The 12,713-nt window shown below is 38.1% G+C and overlaps 1 annotated feature.

The window, feature by feature from the left end:
* Positions 6,886–7,387: an enhancer, noted in NCBI's record as "NANOG hESC enhancer chr1:89496021-89496522 (GRCh37/hg19 assembly coordinates)". NCBI's record gives its function as "activates a minimal SCP1, AML or CMV promoter by ChIP-STARR-seq in primed H9 embryonic stem cells {active_cell/tissue: H9 hESC(primed)}" and the evidence as "EXISTENCE:reporter gene assay evidence [ECO:0000049][PMID:30033119]".

Consider the following 12,713-nt stretch of genomic DNA (forward strand, 5'->3'; position numbering starts at 1 on the left):
GTTTGGTGAGTGAATAATTGTAAAAATATTTAATTTATAGATGTTTTTCCTCTTTTTATTTAGTATATTATAATTTGATTTTTCATAAATTGTTTTCTAAGAGCGTCATATGTTATGTATCTATTTCATTCATGACTACTTACATGCAGAATAGGTGGTATTAACTCTATTTTACAGTAAAAACAAATTGTAAAAAACCCTTGTGAGCATTTATTTGTTAATTTAGTTACACACACATAAAAAATTATACATTATGTATATATGAAATGAAATATATTGTTCTATCTTACTCATATTTTATAAAATAGTTTTATTCAAACTCTTCCTATTCTTCCTGAACACTGTAGCTTCATCATTATTAAAACTACTTTAGAGTATTTTTTTTTTTTTTTTGAGACGGAGTCTCACTCTGTCCCCTAGGCTGAAGGCTGGAGTGCAGTGTTGCAATCTTGGCTCACTGCAGCCTCTGCCTCCAGGGTTCCAGTGATTCTCCTGCCTCAGCCTCCCAGGTAGCGGGGATTACAGGCACATGCCACCAGGCCTGGCTAGTTTTTGTGTTTTTTAGTAGAGATGGGGTTTTATCATGTTGGCCAGGCTGGTGTCACACTCCTGACCTCAAGTGATCCACCCACCTCAGCCTCCGAAAGTGTTGGGATTACAGGCATGGGCCACTACGCCTGGTCAAAATCTTTTAACCTATTTTTTCAGAGTATATCATTGTTACTTTTGTCATAATCATTTGAACCATTTAAAATCTCTGCAAATTGTTGTAAAAACATATATCAAACAACAAAACATCTATTCAAGAAGACCCCTACAATTATGGTAGCAATAGCAAGAGTCGATGGTACTTGTTCCACAACCTGCTTCTTCCCCATCTTCAATTCAGATTGTCAAACGTTCCACTACAGCTGGGTATGGCCAAGAAGCCTGTTTTCCCTCTTCTTTCATCTTCCAGTCAGGGATAAAATATCCCATTAGGAGGGGCAGTCTATGAGCATTTCTCATTCCGTCCAACACCAAGTTGTAGAAACTAAATTCCTGGTGAGTGTGACCAGAAGTCAAGGGCTTTCAACCTCCCCTGCCCCATTCATACAGTGGAAGGTCTAACCCAGGCTTGTCAGCCTAAGAACACGGGATCTCTTCACTGTGGTTCATGTGTAGAGTGGAGTTTCCATGCTGAGAGAGACAAGCAAAGAAGACCAGAGGCTCCCACCCCTGTCCAGTGGAAGGGGCCATGGCTCAGAGGTTTTGCCCAGGAAAAGAGGCCATCCATAAAATCAAAGGGCTTGAAAGCTATTCCCCAAAATACCGACTTTGGTTGAAACAACATGTGGAAAAATTCAAGCATAGAAACTTGAAGAAAATTATTGCTAGCTGATCTACTCTATGAGCAATACTAAAAGCTGATTTCAAGCAGAAAGCAAGTGACCTTTTCAAATGGTAATACAAATCCACCTGGACAAATAGTAAGGGAGTTATGTAATTATAAAAGACAGCATAAATGTATATTTTTTCCTTTCTCCTTGTAACTTATTTTAAAAAATAAGTATTTTATTGTATAAAAGAGTATGTATATAAGTGTATTTCAAGGCCTATAACATATAGAAATGTATTACACTTAACAAGAATGACACAAGGGGAAAAGGTGGGAGCAAAGGTATATTGGAATGAAGAAACAATAGCAGATGTTAATTTGAACCTCTAGAAATAAGGAGAACTTGTAAGTAAGAAAATAAAAATGAAAAGCTCTATAAATGTATACCTTTTTCTTCTGCTTCCTTAAAAGACATAAAATACTATGAATTAGTAATCATAACAGTGTATTATTGAGTTTGTAACATATATAGATGTAATATATGTAATAATAATAGCACCAAAAGAGGGAAGAGCCAATAGTTATAGAGTTATTAGTATAATAATTCAGTATCTCACAGGAATTAATTTGGCATAAATTTCAGGCATCCTTTGGTGAGTTATGTATATGATAATGCCTAGAACAATTACTAAGAAAATAATGGGTCTCAAATCAATAACCTAGTCTTTTACATTGAGACACTGGTAAAAAACCAAACTAAATCTGAAGCAAGCAGAAAGAAGAAAATGAAAAGTTTTGGAAATTAACAGAGTAGAAACCAATGAAATAAAGAATAGAAGAAAAAAGTAGAGAAAGTCAATAAAACCAAAAGCTGTTTTTAGAAAAGATCAACAAAATTGACAAAGCTTTTAGTTAGACTGGCCAAAATGAAACAAAACAAAACAAAACAATCCTGAAAAACAGCAGAAGACTCAAATAACTAAAATTGAGAAGGAAACAGGAGGCATCACTACTGACTTTACAGAAATAAAAAAGATTGTAAGTAATACTATGAACAACAGTATGTCCACAAATTAAATTATACAAAATAGGTAAATTCCTAGAAAGACACAAACTACCAAAACTATCTCAAGAAGAAATAGATCATCGAGTAAAAGTAACAAGTAAAGAGATTGAATTATGTATTCATCGATTTTCATGCTGCTATGATAAAATACCTGAGACTGGGTAATTTGTAAAGAAAAGAGGTTTAATTGACTCAGAGTTCTGCATGGCTGGGGAGGCCTCAGGAAACTTACAATCACGGCATAAGGCGGGAGAGAGAATGAGAGCAGAGCAAATGGGGAAGCCCCTTATGAAACCATCAGATCTTATGAGAACTCACTCACTGTCATGAGAACAGCATGGAAGCAACTACCCTGTGATTCAATGATCTCCACCTGGTCCTGCCCTTAACACTTGGGGATTATTACAATTTAAGGTGAGATTTGGGGGGGGACACAGAGCCAAACCATATCAATTATTAATCATAAAACTACCACAAGAAAAGCATAACCCCAAATGACTTCACTGGCTACTTCTACTAAACAGGTAAAGAATAATTTATACAAGTTTCTTACAACCTTGACCAAAAATAGAAGAGCACAATTTCCCATTCAGTTTGAGGCAATATTACAATGCTATGAAACCCAAAGACATCATAATTAAAGTGTAGACCACTACGTTTTATGAAAAAGGATGCAAAAATCCTCAATAAAATACTAGCAAACCAAATCCCACAAAAGTATACCAAACTTATATGAAGTGGGATTTATCCCATGAAAGCAAGTATGGTTTAACATGTGAAAATCAATTAATATAAAACACCATGTCAACAGAATGAAGGACAAAAACCATATAATCATCTCAATATACACAGGAAAAGCATTTGATAAAATTTGATACCGCTTCCTGATAAACACAGTCAACACACTGAGAACAAAAGGGAACATTCTCAACTTTATAATGTCCTATGAAGTTTTATTTTGATATAATTTTAGACTTCAGAAAAGTGGCAAAATAGTACAAAGTTTCTGTACAGTCTTCCCCTCAGTTCCCCATATGTTATCATTTTAAATTTATTTTCTTTCTGTCTGAACTATTCAAGGGTTAGTGACAGACATAATGGCTTTTTATACCTAAAAACTTCAGTGTGTGTTTCTTAAAAAAGAGAAATTATTTTACAGAGCCACAGTATATTTGTGTAAAGTCCTTCTTAGGCCATAGACTTTTTTTCTAGTTTTTTATTTATTTATTTTTTTATACTTCAACTCTTAAGTTCAGGGGTACATGTGCAGGATGTGCAGGTTTGTTACACAGGTAAATGTGTGCCATGGTGGTTTGCTGCACAGATCATCCCATCACCTAGGTATTAAGCCCAGCATACCTTAGCTACTCTTCGTAATGCTGTCCCTTCCCAAAATCCCACCCCAACAGGCCCCAGTGTGTATGTTCCTCACCATGTGTCCATGTGTTCTCATTATTCAGCTCCCACTTATAAGTGAGAACACAGGGTGTTTGGTTTTGTGTTTCTGTGTTAGTTTGCTGAGGATAATGGCTTCCAACTTCCATCTCCATCCATGACCCTGCAAAGGACATGATCTCGTTCCTTTTTATGGCTGCATAGTTAACAGCTGGAATTCTGTGTCTCCTTCTTGGAGGGAAAACAATATGTAACAGACTCTTTAGACCTGTTCTTGCAAGTGTAACATGGATATGTGTCCTTAAGAAGCAAATATTAGTAGTTAATATCTGAATTTCTCTGCCCATCTACTTTACTGGGAAATGATAGAAGGTTGATTCAGGATTGGTGGAATCCTTTGGTGTCATTCTTGAAGCTCTTTAAGGTGAGGGACTGGAGCACTCGGTGTTGGGACTACCTACTCGTGCATTTGTCCCTGAGATAATAAACACTATTCACAAATTTTAAAATGTTCAAACTATTATGAGATCTTGGTTGGCATATCCCAGAACTAAAAGTCTGCATATGGTGTTTAGTTGGTAAATAATATTTACAAGAACAGATTTATTTACAAGGCATGGTTTTCCAACTGAGTGAATATAGAAGAACTCTCAAAATATGTTAAAGACTCCACGGAGCATATGAAGGCTTGAGTTTTTTTAATTCAATGTAAATCAAATAAAAGCACTTACCAAAGTGTTGAAGAACATTTGTTATCATTTTGAATGAATAGTGGCAATTATTGTATTTTAATTGAGGCTTGGTCTACATGAGGTTATGATTGAAAGTGACATTCCTGGAATAATGGATATTTCATGAGAATCATGAAACTATTTGCTGAATTTGATTCATTTTTACATGACTATCTGGAAAAAAGCCAAAATCAAAAAAAGACAAATGTGTCATCTGTATTCAAAATAGAGTAGAATGAATTAATCAAAACAAAAAATATAAAAATATTTGGAAAAAAACCAGACCCCCAAATACTAGTCCAGTATTGTAAGTTTTTCATGAGATTGGACAAATACTAATCAATTAACGATTATTATGAGTTGAAGGTATTATAGAAAACCCTGAAAGTTTGTAAATGTTTTCATTTCTTGCCACCTGAAAACAATCTTTCTGTGAGAAAGTGGAATATACTCGTTCTGGATGTTTGCAACATTCTATTGGACAGTATTTGTGGACAGTAGTATAACTATATCATATGACAATATAGCTATTATGAAAAGTAAAGATAAAGGATTGCATGCACTTTTTAAATTATACTTTAAGTTAGAGGGTACATGTGCACAATGTGCAGGTTTGTTACATAGGTATACATGTGCCATGTTGGTTTGCTGCACCCATTAACTTGTCATTTACATTAGGTGTTTCTCCTAATGCTTTCCCTCCCCCTGCCCCCCACCCCACGACAGGCCCTGGTGTGTAATGTTCCCCACCCCATGTCCCAGTGTTCTCACTGTTCAATTCCCACCTATGAGTGAGAAAATGCAGTGTTAGATTTTCTGTCCTTGTGATAGTTTGCTTAGAATGATGGTTTCCAGCTTCATCCATATCCCTGCAAAGGACATGAACTCATCCTTTTTTATGGCTGCAAAGTATTCCATGGTGTATATGTGCCACATTTTCATAATCCAGTCTATCATAGATGGACATTTTGGTTGGTTCCAAGTCTTTGCTATTGTGAATAGTGCCGCAATAAACACATATGTGCATGTGTCTTTATAGTAGCATGATTTATAATCCTTTAGGTATATACCCAGTAAGGGGATGGCTGGGTCAAATGGTATTTCTAGTTCTAGATCCTTGAGGAATCACCATACTGTCTTCCACAATGGTTTATCTAGTTTACACTCCCACCAACAGTGTAAAAGCATTCCTATTTCTCCAATCCTCTCCAGCAACTGCTGTTTCCTGACTTTTTAGTGAACGCCTTTCTAACTGGTGTGAGATGGTATCTCATTGTGGTTTTGATTTGCATTTCTCTGATGACTAGTGATGATGAGCATTTTTTCATGTGTCGGCTGCAAAAATGTCTTCTTTTGAGACTTCTCTCAAAATAAGACATATCCTTTGCCCACTTTTTGATGTGGTTGTTTGTTTTTTTCTTGTAAATTTGTTTAAGTTCTTTGTAGATTCTGGGTATTAGCCATTTGTCAGATGGGTAGATTGCAAAAATGGTCTCCCATTCTGTAGGTTGCCTGTTCACTCTGATGGAAGTTTCTTCTGCTGTGCAGAAGCTCTTTAGTTTAATTAGATCCCATTTGTCAATTTTGGCTTTTGTTGCCGTTGCTTTTGGTGTTTTAGTCATGAAGTCCTTGTCCATGCCTATGTCCTGAATGGTATTGCCCAGGTTTTCTTCTAGGGCGTTTATGATTTTAGGTCTAACATTTAAGTCTTTAATCCATCTTGAATTAATTTTTGTATAAGATGTAAGGAAGGGATCCAGCTTCAGCTTTGTACACATGGCTAGCCAGTTTTCCCAGCACCATTTATTAATAGGGAATAAATAGGGAATCCTTTCCCCATTTCTTCTTTTTGTCAGGTTTGTCAAAGATCAGATAGTTCTAGATGTGTGGTGTTATTTCTGAGGCCTCTGTTCTGTTCCATTGGTCTGTATCTCTGTTTTGGTACCAGTACCATGCTGTTTTGGTTACTGTAGGCTTGTAGTATAGTTTGAATTCAGGTGGCATGATGCCTCCAGCTTTGTTCTTTTTGCTTAGGATTGCCTTGGCAATGTGGGCTCTTTTTTGGTTCCATGTGTAATTTAAAGTAGTTTTTTCCAATTCTGTGAAGAAAATCATTGGTAGCTTGATGGGGATGGCATGGAATCTATAAATTACCTTGGGCAGTATGGCCATTTTCATGATATTGATTCTTCCTATCCATGAGCATGAAATGTTCTTCCATTTGTTTGTATCCTCTTTTATTTCATTGAGCAGTGGTTTGTAGTTCTCCTTGAAGAGGTCCTTCACATCCCTTGTAAGTTGTATTCCTAGGTATTTTATTATCTTTGTAGCAATTGTGAATGGGAGATCATTCACGATTTAGCTCTCTGTTTGTCCGTTCTTGGTGTATAGGAATGCTTGTGATTTTTGTACATTGATTTTTGTATCCTGAGACTTTGCTGAAGTTGCTTATCAGCTTAAGGAGATTTTGGGCTGAAATGATGGGGTTTTCTAAATATGCAATCATGTTATCTGCAAACAGGGACAATTTGACTTCCTCTTTTCCTGATTGAATACCCTTTATTTCTTTATCTTGCCTGGTAGCTGTGGCCAGAACTTCCAACACTATGTTGAATAGGAGTGGTGAGAGAGGGCATCCCTGCCTTGTGCCAGTTTTCAAAGGGAATGCTTCCAGTTTTTGCCCATTCAGTATGATATTCGCTGTGGGTTTGTCATAAATAGTTCTTACTATTTTTAGGTACGTTCCATCAATACCTAGTTTATTGAGAGTTTTTAGCATGAAGGGCTGTTGAATTTTGTTGAAGGCCTTTTCTGCATCTATTGAGATGATCATGTGGTTTTTGTTGTTGGTTCTCTTTATGTGATCGATTATGTTTATTGATTGCCGTATTTTGAAACAGCCTTGCATCCCAGGGATGAAGTTGGCTTGATCATGGAGGATAAGCTTTTTGATGTGTTGCTGTATTCGGTTTGCCAGCATTTTATTGAGGATTTTCGCATCGATGTTCATCAGGGATATTGGTCTAAAATTCTCTTTTTTTGTTGTGTCTCTGCCAGGCGTTGGTATCAGAATGATGCTGGCCTCATAGAAAGAGTTAGGGAGGATTCCCTCTTTTTCTATTAATTGGCATAGTTTCAGAAGGAATGGTACCAGCTCCTCTTAGTACCTCTGGTGGAATTCGGTTGTGAATCCTTCTGGTCCGTGACTTTTTTTGGTTGGTAGGCTATTAATTGTTGCCTCAATTTCAGAGCCTGTTATTGGTCTATTCAGAGATTCAACTTCTTCCTGTTTAGTCTTGGGAGGGTGTATGTGTCCAGGAATGTATCCATTTCTTCTAGATTTTCTAGTTTATTGGTCTAGGGGTGCTTATAATATTCTCTGATGGTAGTTTGTATTTCTGTGGGATCGGTGGTGATATCTCCTTTATCATTTTTTATTGCGTCTATTTGATTCTTCTCTCTTTTCTTCTTTATTAGTCTTGCTAGGGGTCTATCAATTTTGTTGATCTTTTCAAAAAACCAGCTCCTGGATTCATTGATTTTTTGAAGGGTTTCTTGTGTCTCTATCTCCTTCAGTTCTGCTCTGATCTTATATTTTTTGCCTTCTGCTAGCTTTTGAATGTGTTTGCTCTTACTTCTCTAGTTCTTCTAATTGTGATGTTAGGGTTTCAATTTTAGATATTTCCTGCTTTCTCTTGTGGGCATTTAGTGCTATAAATTTGCCTCTATGCACTGCTTTAAATGTGTCCCAGAGATTCTGGTCCGTTGTGTCTTTGTTCTCATTGGTTTCAAAGAACATCTTTATTTCTGCTTTCATTTTGTTATTTACCCAGTAGTCTTTCAGGAGCAGGTTGTTCAGTTTCCATGTAGTTGTGCGGTTTTGAGTGAGTTTCTTGATCCTGAGTTGTAATTTGATTGCAATGTGGTCTGAGAGACAGTTTGTTGTGATTTCTGTTCTTTTACATTTGCTGAGGAGTGCTTTACTTCCAATTATGTGGTCAATTTTGGAATAAGTGGGATGTGGTGCTGAGAAGAATGTATATTCTGTTGATTTGGGGTAAAGAGTTCTGTAGATGTCTATTAGGTCCGCTTGGTGCAGAGCTGAGTTCAAGTCCTGGATATCCTTGTTAACATTCTGTCTCATTGATCTGTCTAATATTGACAGTGGGACGTTAAAGTCTTCCATTATTATTGTGTGGGAGTCTAAGTCTCTTTGTAGGTCTCTAAGGACTTGCTTTATGAATCTGGGTGCTCCTGTATTGGGTGCATATATGTTTAGGATAGTTAGCTCTTCTTTTTGAATTGATCCCTTTACCATTATGTAATGGCCTTCTTCGTCTCTTTTGATCTTTGTTGGTTTAAAGTCTTTTATCAGAGATGCGGATTGCAACCCCTGCTTTTTTTTTGCTTTCTATCTGCTTGGTAGATCTTCCTCCATCCCTTTATTTTGAGCCTATGTGTGTCTCTGCATGGGAGATGGGTCTCCTGAATACAAGACACTGATGGGTCTTGGCTCTTTATCCAATTTGCCAGTCTGTGTCATCTAATTGGGGCATTTAACCCATTTACATTTAAGGTTAATATTGTTCTGTGTGAATTTGACCCTGTCATTATGATATTAGCTGGTTATTTTGCTAGTTAGTTGACGCAGTTTCTTCCTAGCATTGATGGTCTTTACAATTTGGCATGTTTTTGCAGTGGCTGGTACTAGCTCTTCCTTTCCATGTTTAGTACTTCCTTCAGGAGCTCTTGTAAGGCAGGCCTGGTGGTGACAAAATCTCTCAGCATTTGCTTGTCTGTAAAGAATTTTATTTCTCCTTCACTCATGAAGCTTAGTTTGACTGGATATGAAATTCTGGGTTGAAAATTCTTTTCTTTAAGAATGTTGAATATTGGCCCCCACTCTCTTCTGGCTTGTAGAGTTTCTGCTGAGAGATCTGCTGTTAGTCTGATGGGCTTCCCTTTGTGGGTAGCCTGACCTTTCTCTCTGGCTGTGCTTAACATTTTTCCTTCATTCAACCTTGGTGAATCTGACAATTACATGTCTTGGAGTTGCTCTTCTCAAGGAGTATCTTTGTGGTGGTCTCTGTAGTTCCTGAATTTGAATGTTGGCCTGCCTTGCTAGGTTGGGGAAGTTCTCCTGGATAATATCCAGAAGAGTGTTTTCCAACTTGGTTCCATTCTCCCTGTCACTTTCAGGTACGCCAATCAAACATAGATTTGATCTTTTCACATAGTCCCATATTTCTTGGAGGCATTGTTCATTTCTTTTTACTCTTTTTTCTCTAAACTTCTCTGCCCACTTTATTTCATTAATTTGATCTTCAATCACTGATACCTTTTCTTCCACTTGATCAAATCAGCTGTTGAAGCTTGTGCATGTGTTACATAGTTCTCGTGCCATGATTTTCAGCTCCATCAGGTCATCTAAGGTCTTCTCTACACTGTTTATTCTAGTTAGCCATTCGTCTAATCTTTTTTCAAGGGTTTTAGCTTCCTTGCAATGGGTTCGAACATCCTCCTTTAGCTCAGAGATGTTTGTTATTACCAACCTTCTGAAGCCTACTTCTGTCAGCTTGTCAAAGTAATTCTCCGTCCAGCTTTGTTCTCTTGCTGGCGAGGAGCTGTGATCCTCTGGAAGAGAAGAGGTGCTCTGGTTTTTAGAATTTTCCATTTTTCTGCTCTGGTTTCTCCCCATCTTTGTGGTTTTATCTACCTTTGGTCTTTGATGTTGGTGACCTACAGATGGGGTTTTGGTGTGGATGTCCTTTTTTTTTTTTTTTTTTTTTTTTTTTTTTGGTTGATGTTGACGCTATTCCTTTCTGTTTGATAGTTTTCCTTCTAACAGTCAGGTCCCTCAGCTGCAGGTCTGTTGAAGTTTGCTGGAGGTCCACTCCAGACACTGTTTGCCTGGGTGTCACCAGTGGAGGCTGCAGAACAGCAAATATTGCAGAACACTAAATACTGCTGCCTGATCCTTCCTCTGGAAGCTTCTTCCCAGAGGGGCACCTGGCTGTATGAGGTGTCAGTCAGCCCCTACTGGGAGGTGTCTCCCAGTTAGGGTACACGGGGGTCAGGGACCCACTTGAGGAGGCAGTCTGTCCGTTCTCAGAGTTCAAACACCATGCTGGGAGAACAACTGCTCTCTTCAGAGCTGTCAGACAGGAAAGTTTAAGTCTGCAAAAGTTCCTGCTGACTTTTGTTCAGAGGCAGCAGGCCTTGTTGAGCTGTGGTGGGCTCCACCCAGTTTGAGCTTCCCCAGCAACTTTGTTTACCTACTCAAGCCTCAGCAATGGTGGATGCCCCTCCTCCTGCCAGGCTGCTGCCTTGCAGGTCAATCTCAGACTGCTGCACTAGCAGTGAGCAAGCCTCCATGGGCATAGGACCCACGGAATCAGCTGCGGGATATAATCTCCTGGTGTACCGTTTGCTAAGACCATTGGAAAAGGCAGTATTTGGGTGGGAGTTTCCCATTTTTTCCAGGTACAGCCAGTCACAGCTTTCCTTGGCTAGGAAAGGGAAACCCCCTGGCCCCTTGCGCTTCCCAGGTGAGGCAATACCCAGCCCTGCTTCAGCTCGCCCTCTGTGGGCTGCACCCATTGTCCAACCAGTCCCAGTGAGATGAACCATGTATCTAAGTTGGAAATGCAGAAATCACCCATCTTCTGCACTGATCACGCTGGGAGACGTAGACTGGAGCTGTTCCTATTTGGCCATCTTGGAATGGAACTTCTTCGCGTGCACTTTTTAGAAATCATTTATAAGTAAATAGACTGTGTCGTATGGTACTCATTCCATGTAGCTCTCTCGTTTTTCTTTTTTTAATTTCAGATTATGTCTTGTATTACGGAAATCATTCAATTTTTCACCAGAGAATAAGGTGAGTTTCTTGAAGTTGTTGAATAATTCTGTTTCTTTCAAGTTATGTTTTCTTTTTGTGTTAGTCTTATAGAAGGAGTGCTTTAAGCACACAGCTCAAGTTAAAAAAAAGTCTAAATGGGATAACTGCTTTTGGCAATGACCAGGAGAGGAAAATCTGGAATGGATGGTAGAAGAGAGAGATGATGAATATCAATTATGGCCTTGAGACAAGTTGCAGGAGTGAAGTCTGGGGCGTGTGCTGTTAACTCCTGTGTGTTAGGTCCTGTATAAATTGCAGCTGGTCACTAACATGAAGAATTGACAACGGATTGAGTTTAATGTAGGGCACAGTGATCAGAGTGGTGAAGGGGTGAACTGTATCAGATGCATGTGATGCACTGACTCATTCTGTCAAACTCTCTTCTCATCTCAGTTGTGGCAGTGCTGGGCAGTTCAAAGGAGGCCTGGACTCATCTCAGGCTTATAGCATGTTGTATTAGGTAATAAACCTGTATCTGCATAAGAGATTACAGGGTTTATGGGATTGGTATACCCACTCTGTAACCTGTCCCTCCTGGCCTCTCTCAAACATGCTGAGCATGTTCATATCTTAGGCCTATACACCTGCTGTTCCTTTTGCTACTTATGCTGTTTCTCCAGATATCCAGGCGACTTCCCCCCTTACTACTTTAGGTCTTCCCTGAACTGCCACCTCATTGATGCTATTTCTGTTCCCCTGTGTCAAATTGCTATATTCTAAATTGACAGCTCTTTCGCTCCCTTATCGCTGCTTCACTTTTCTTCATGACAGTTGTGGTTATTTGATATTCTGTATGTTTTACATTTTTGTTTATTACTTGCTAGAATGTTTTGTCCCTTGAAGGCAGATATTTTTTGTCTAACTGCTTAATCCTCTCTAGCACCTCAAATCAGTGCCTGACACATAATGAGCCTTTAATAAGTATTTGTTAATTGAATAAATCAAAACTGTGGAAGTGAACATGTTGGTTCGTTATGCTCATTTTCAAGATTTTTGAGATATGTTATAGAATTTTCCTCTGTAAATATATGCAGTCCCTCCCACTCCTTCAAGTGTTTATCACGTCTTTCACCTCCTCCCCCACCAGGTGGAATCAGTATTTTTAATCTTACCTCCATTAATAGGTATAAAATGACATGTTTTCTAAATAAGCAGTTTTAACATTTCAACTCAAAAAGAATATATATTTAGATAACTATCTTTTTTTTTTAGTAAATAATGATTATTTTATTTTATTAAAAAATTTTTTTTATTATTATACTTTAAGTTTTAGGGTACATGTGCACAATGTGCAGATTAGTT

The sequence above is a fragment of the Homo sapiens genome, chromosome 1, assembly GCF_000001405.40.
Source record: "Homo sapiens chromosome 1, GRCh38.p14 Primary Assembly".
NCBI classification, from domain to species: Eukaryota; Metazoa; Chordata; class Mammalia; order Primates; family Hominidae; genus Homo; species Homo sapiens.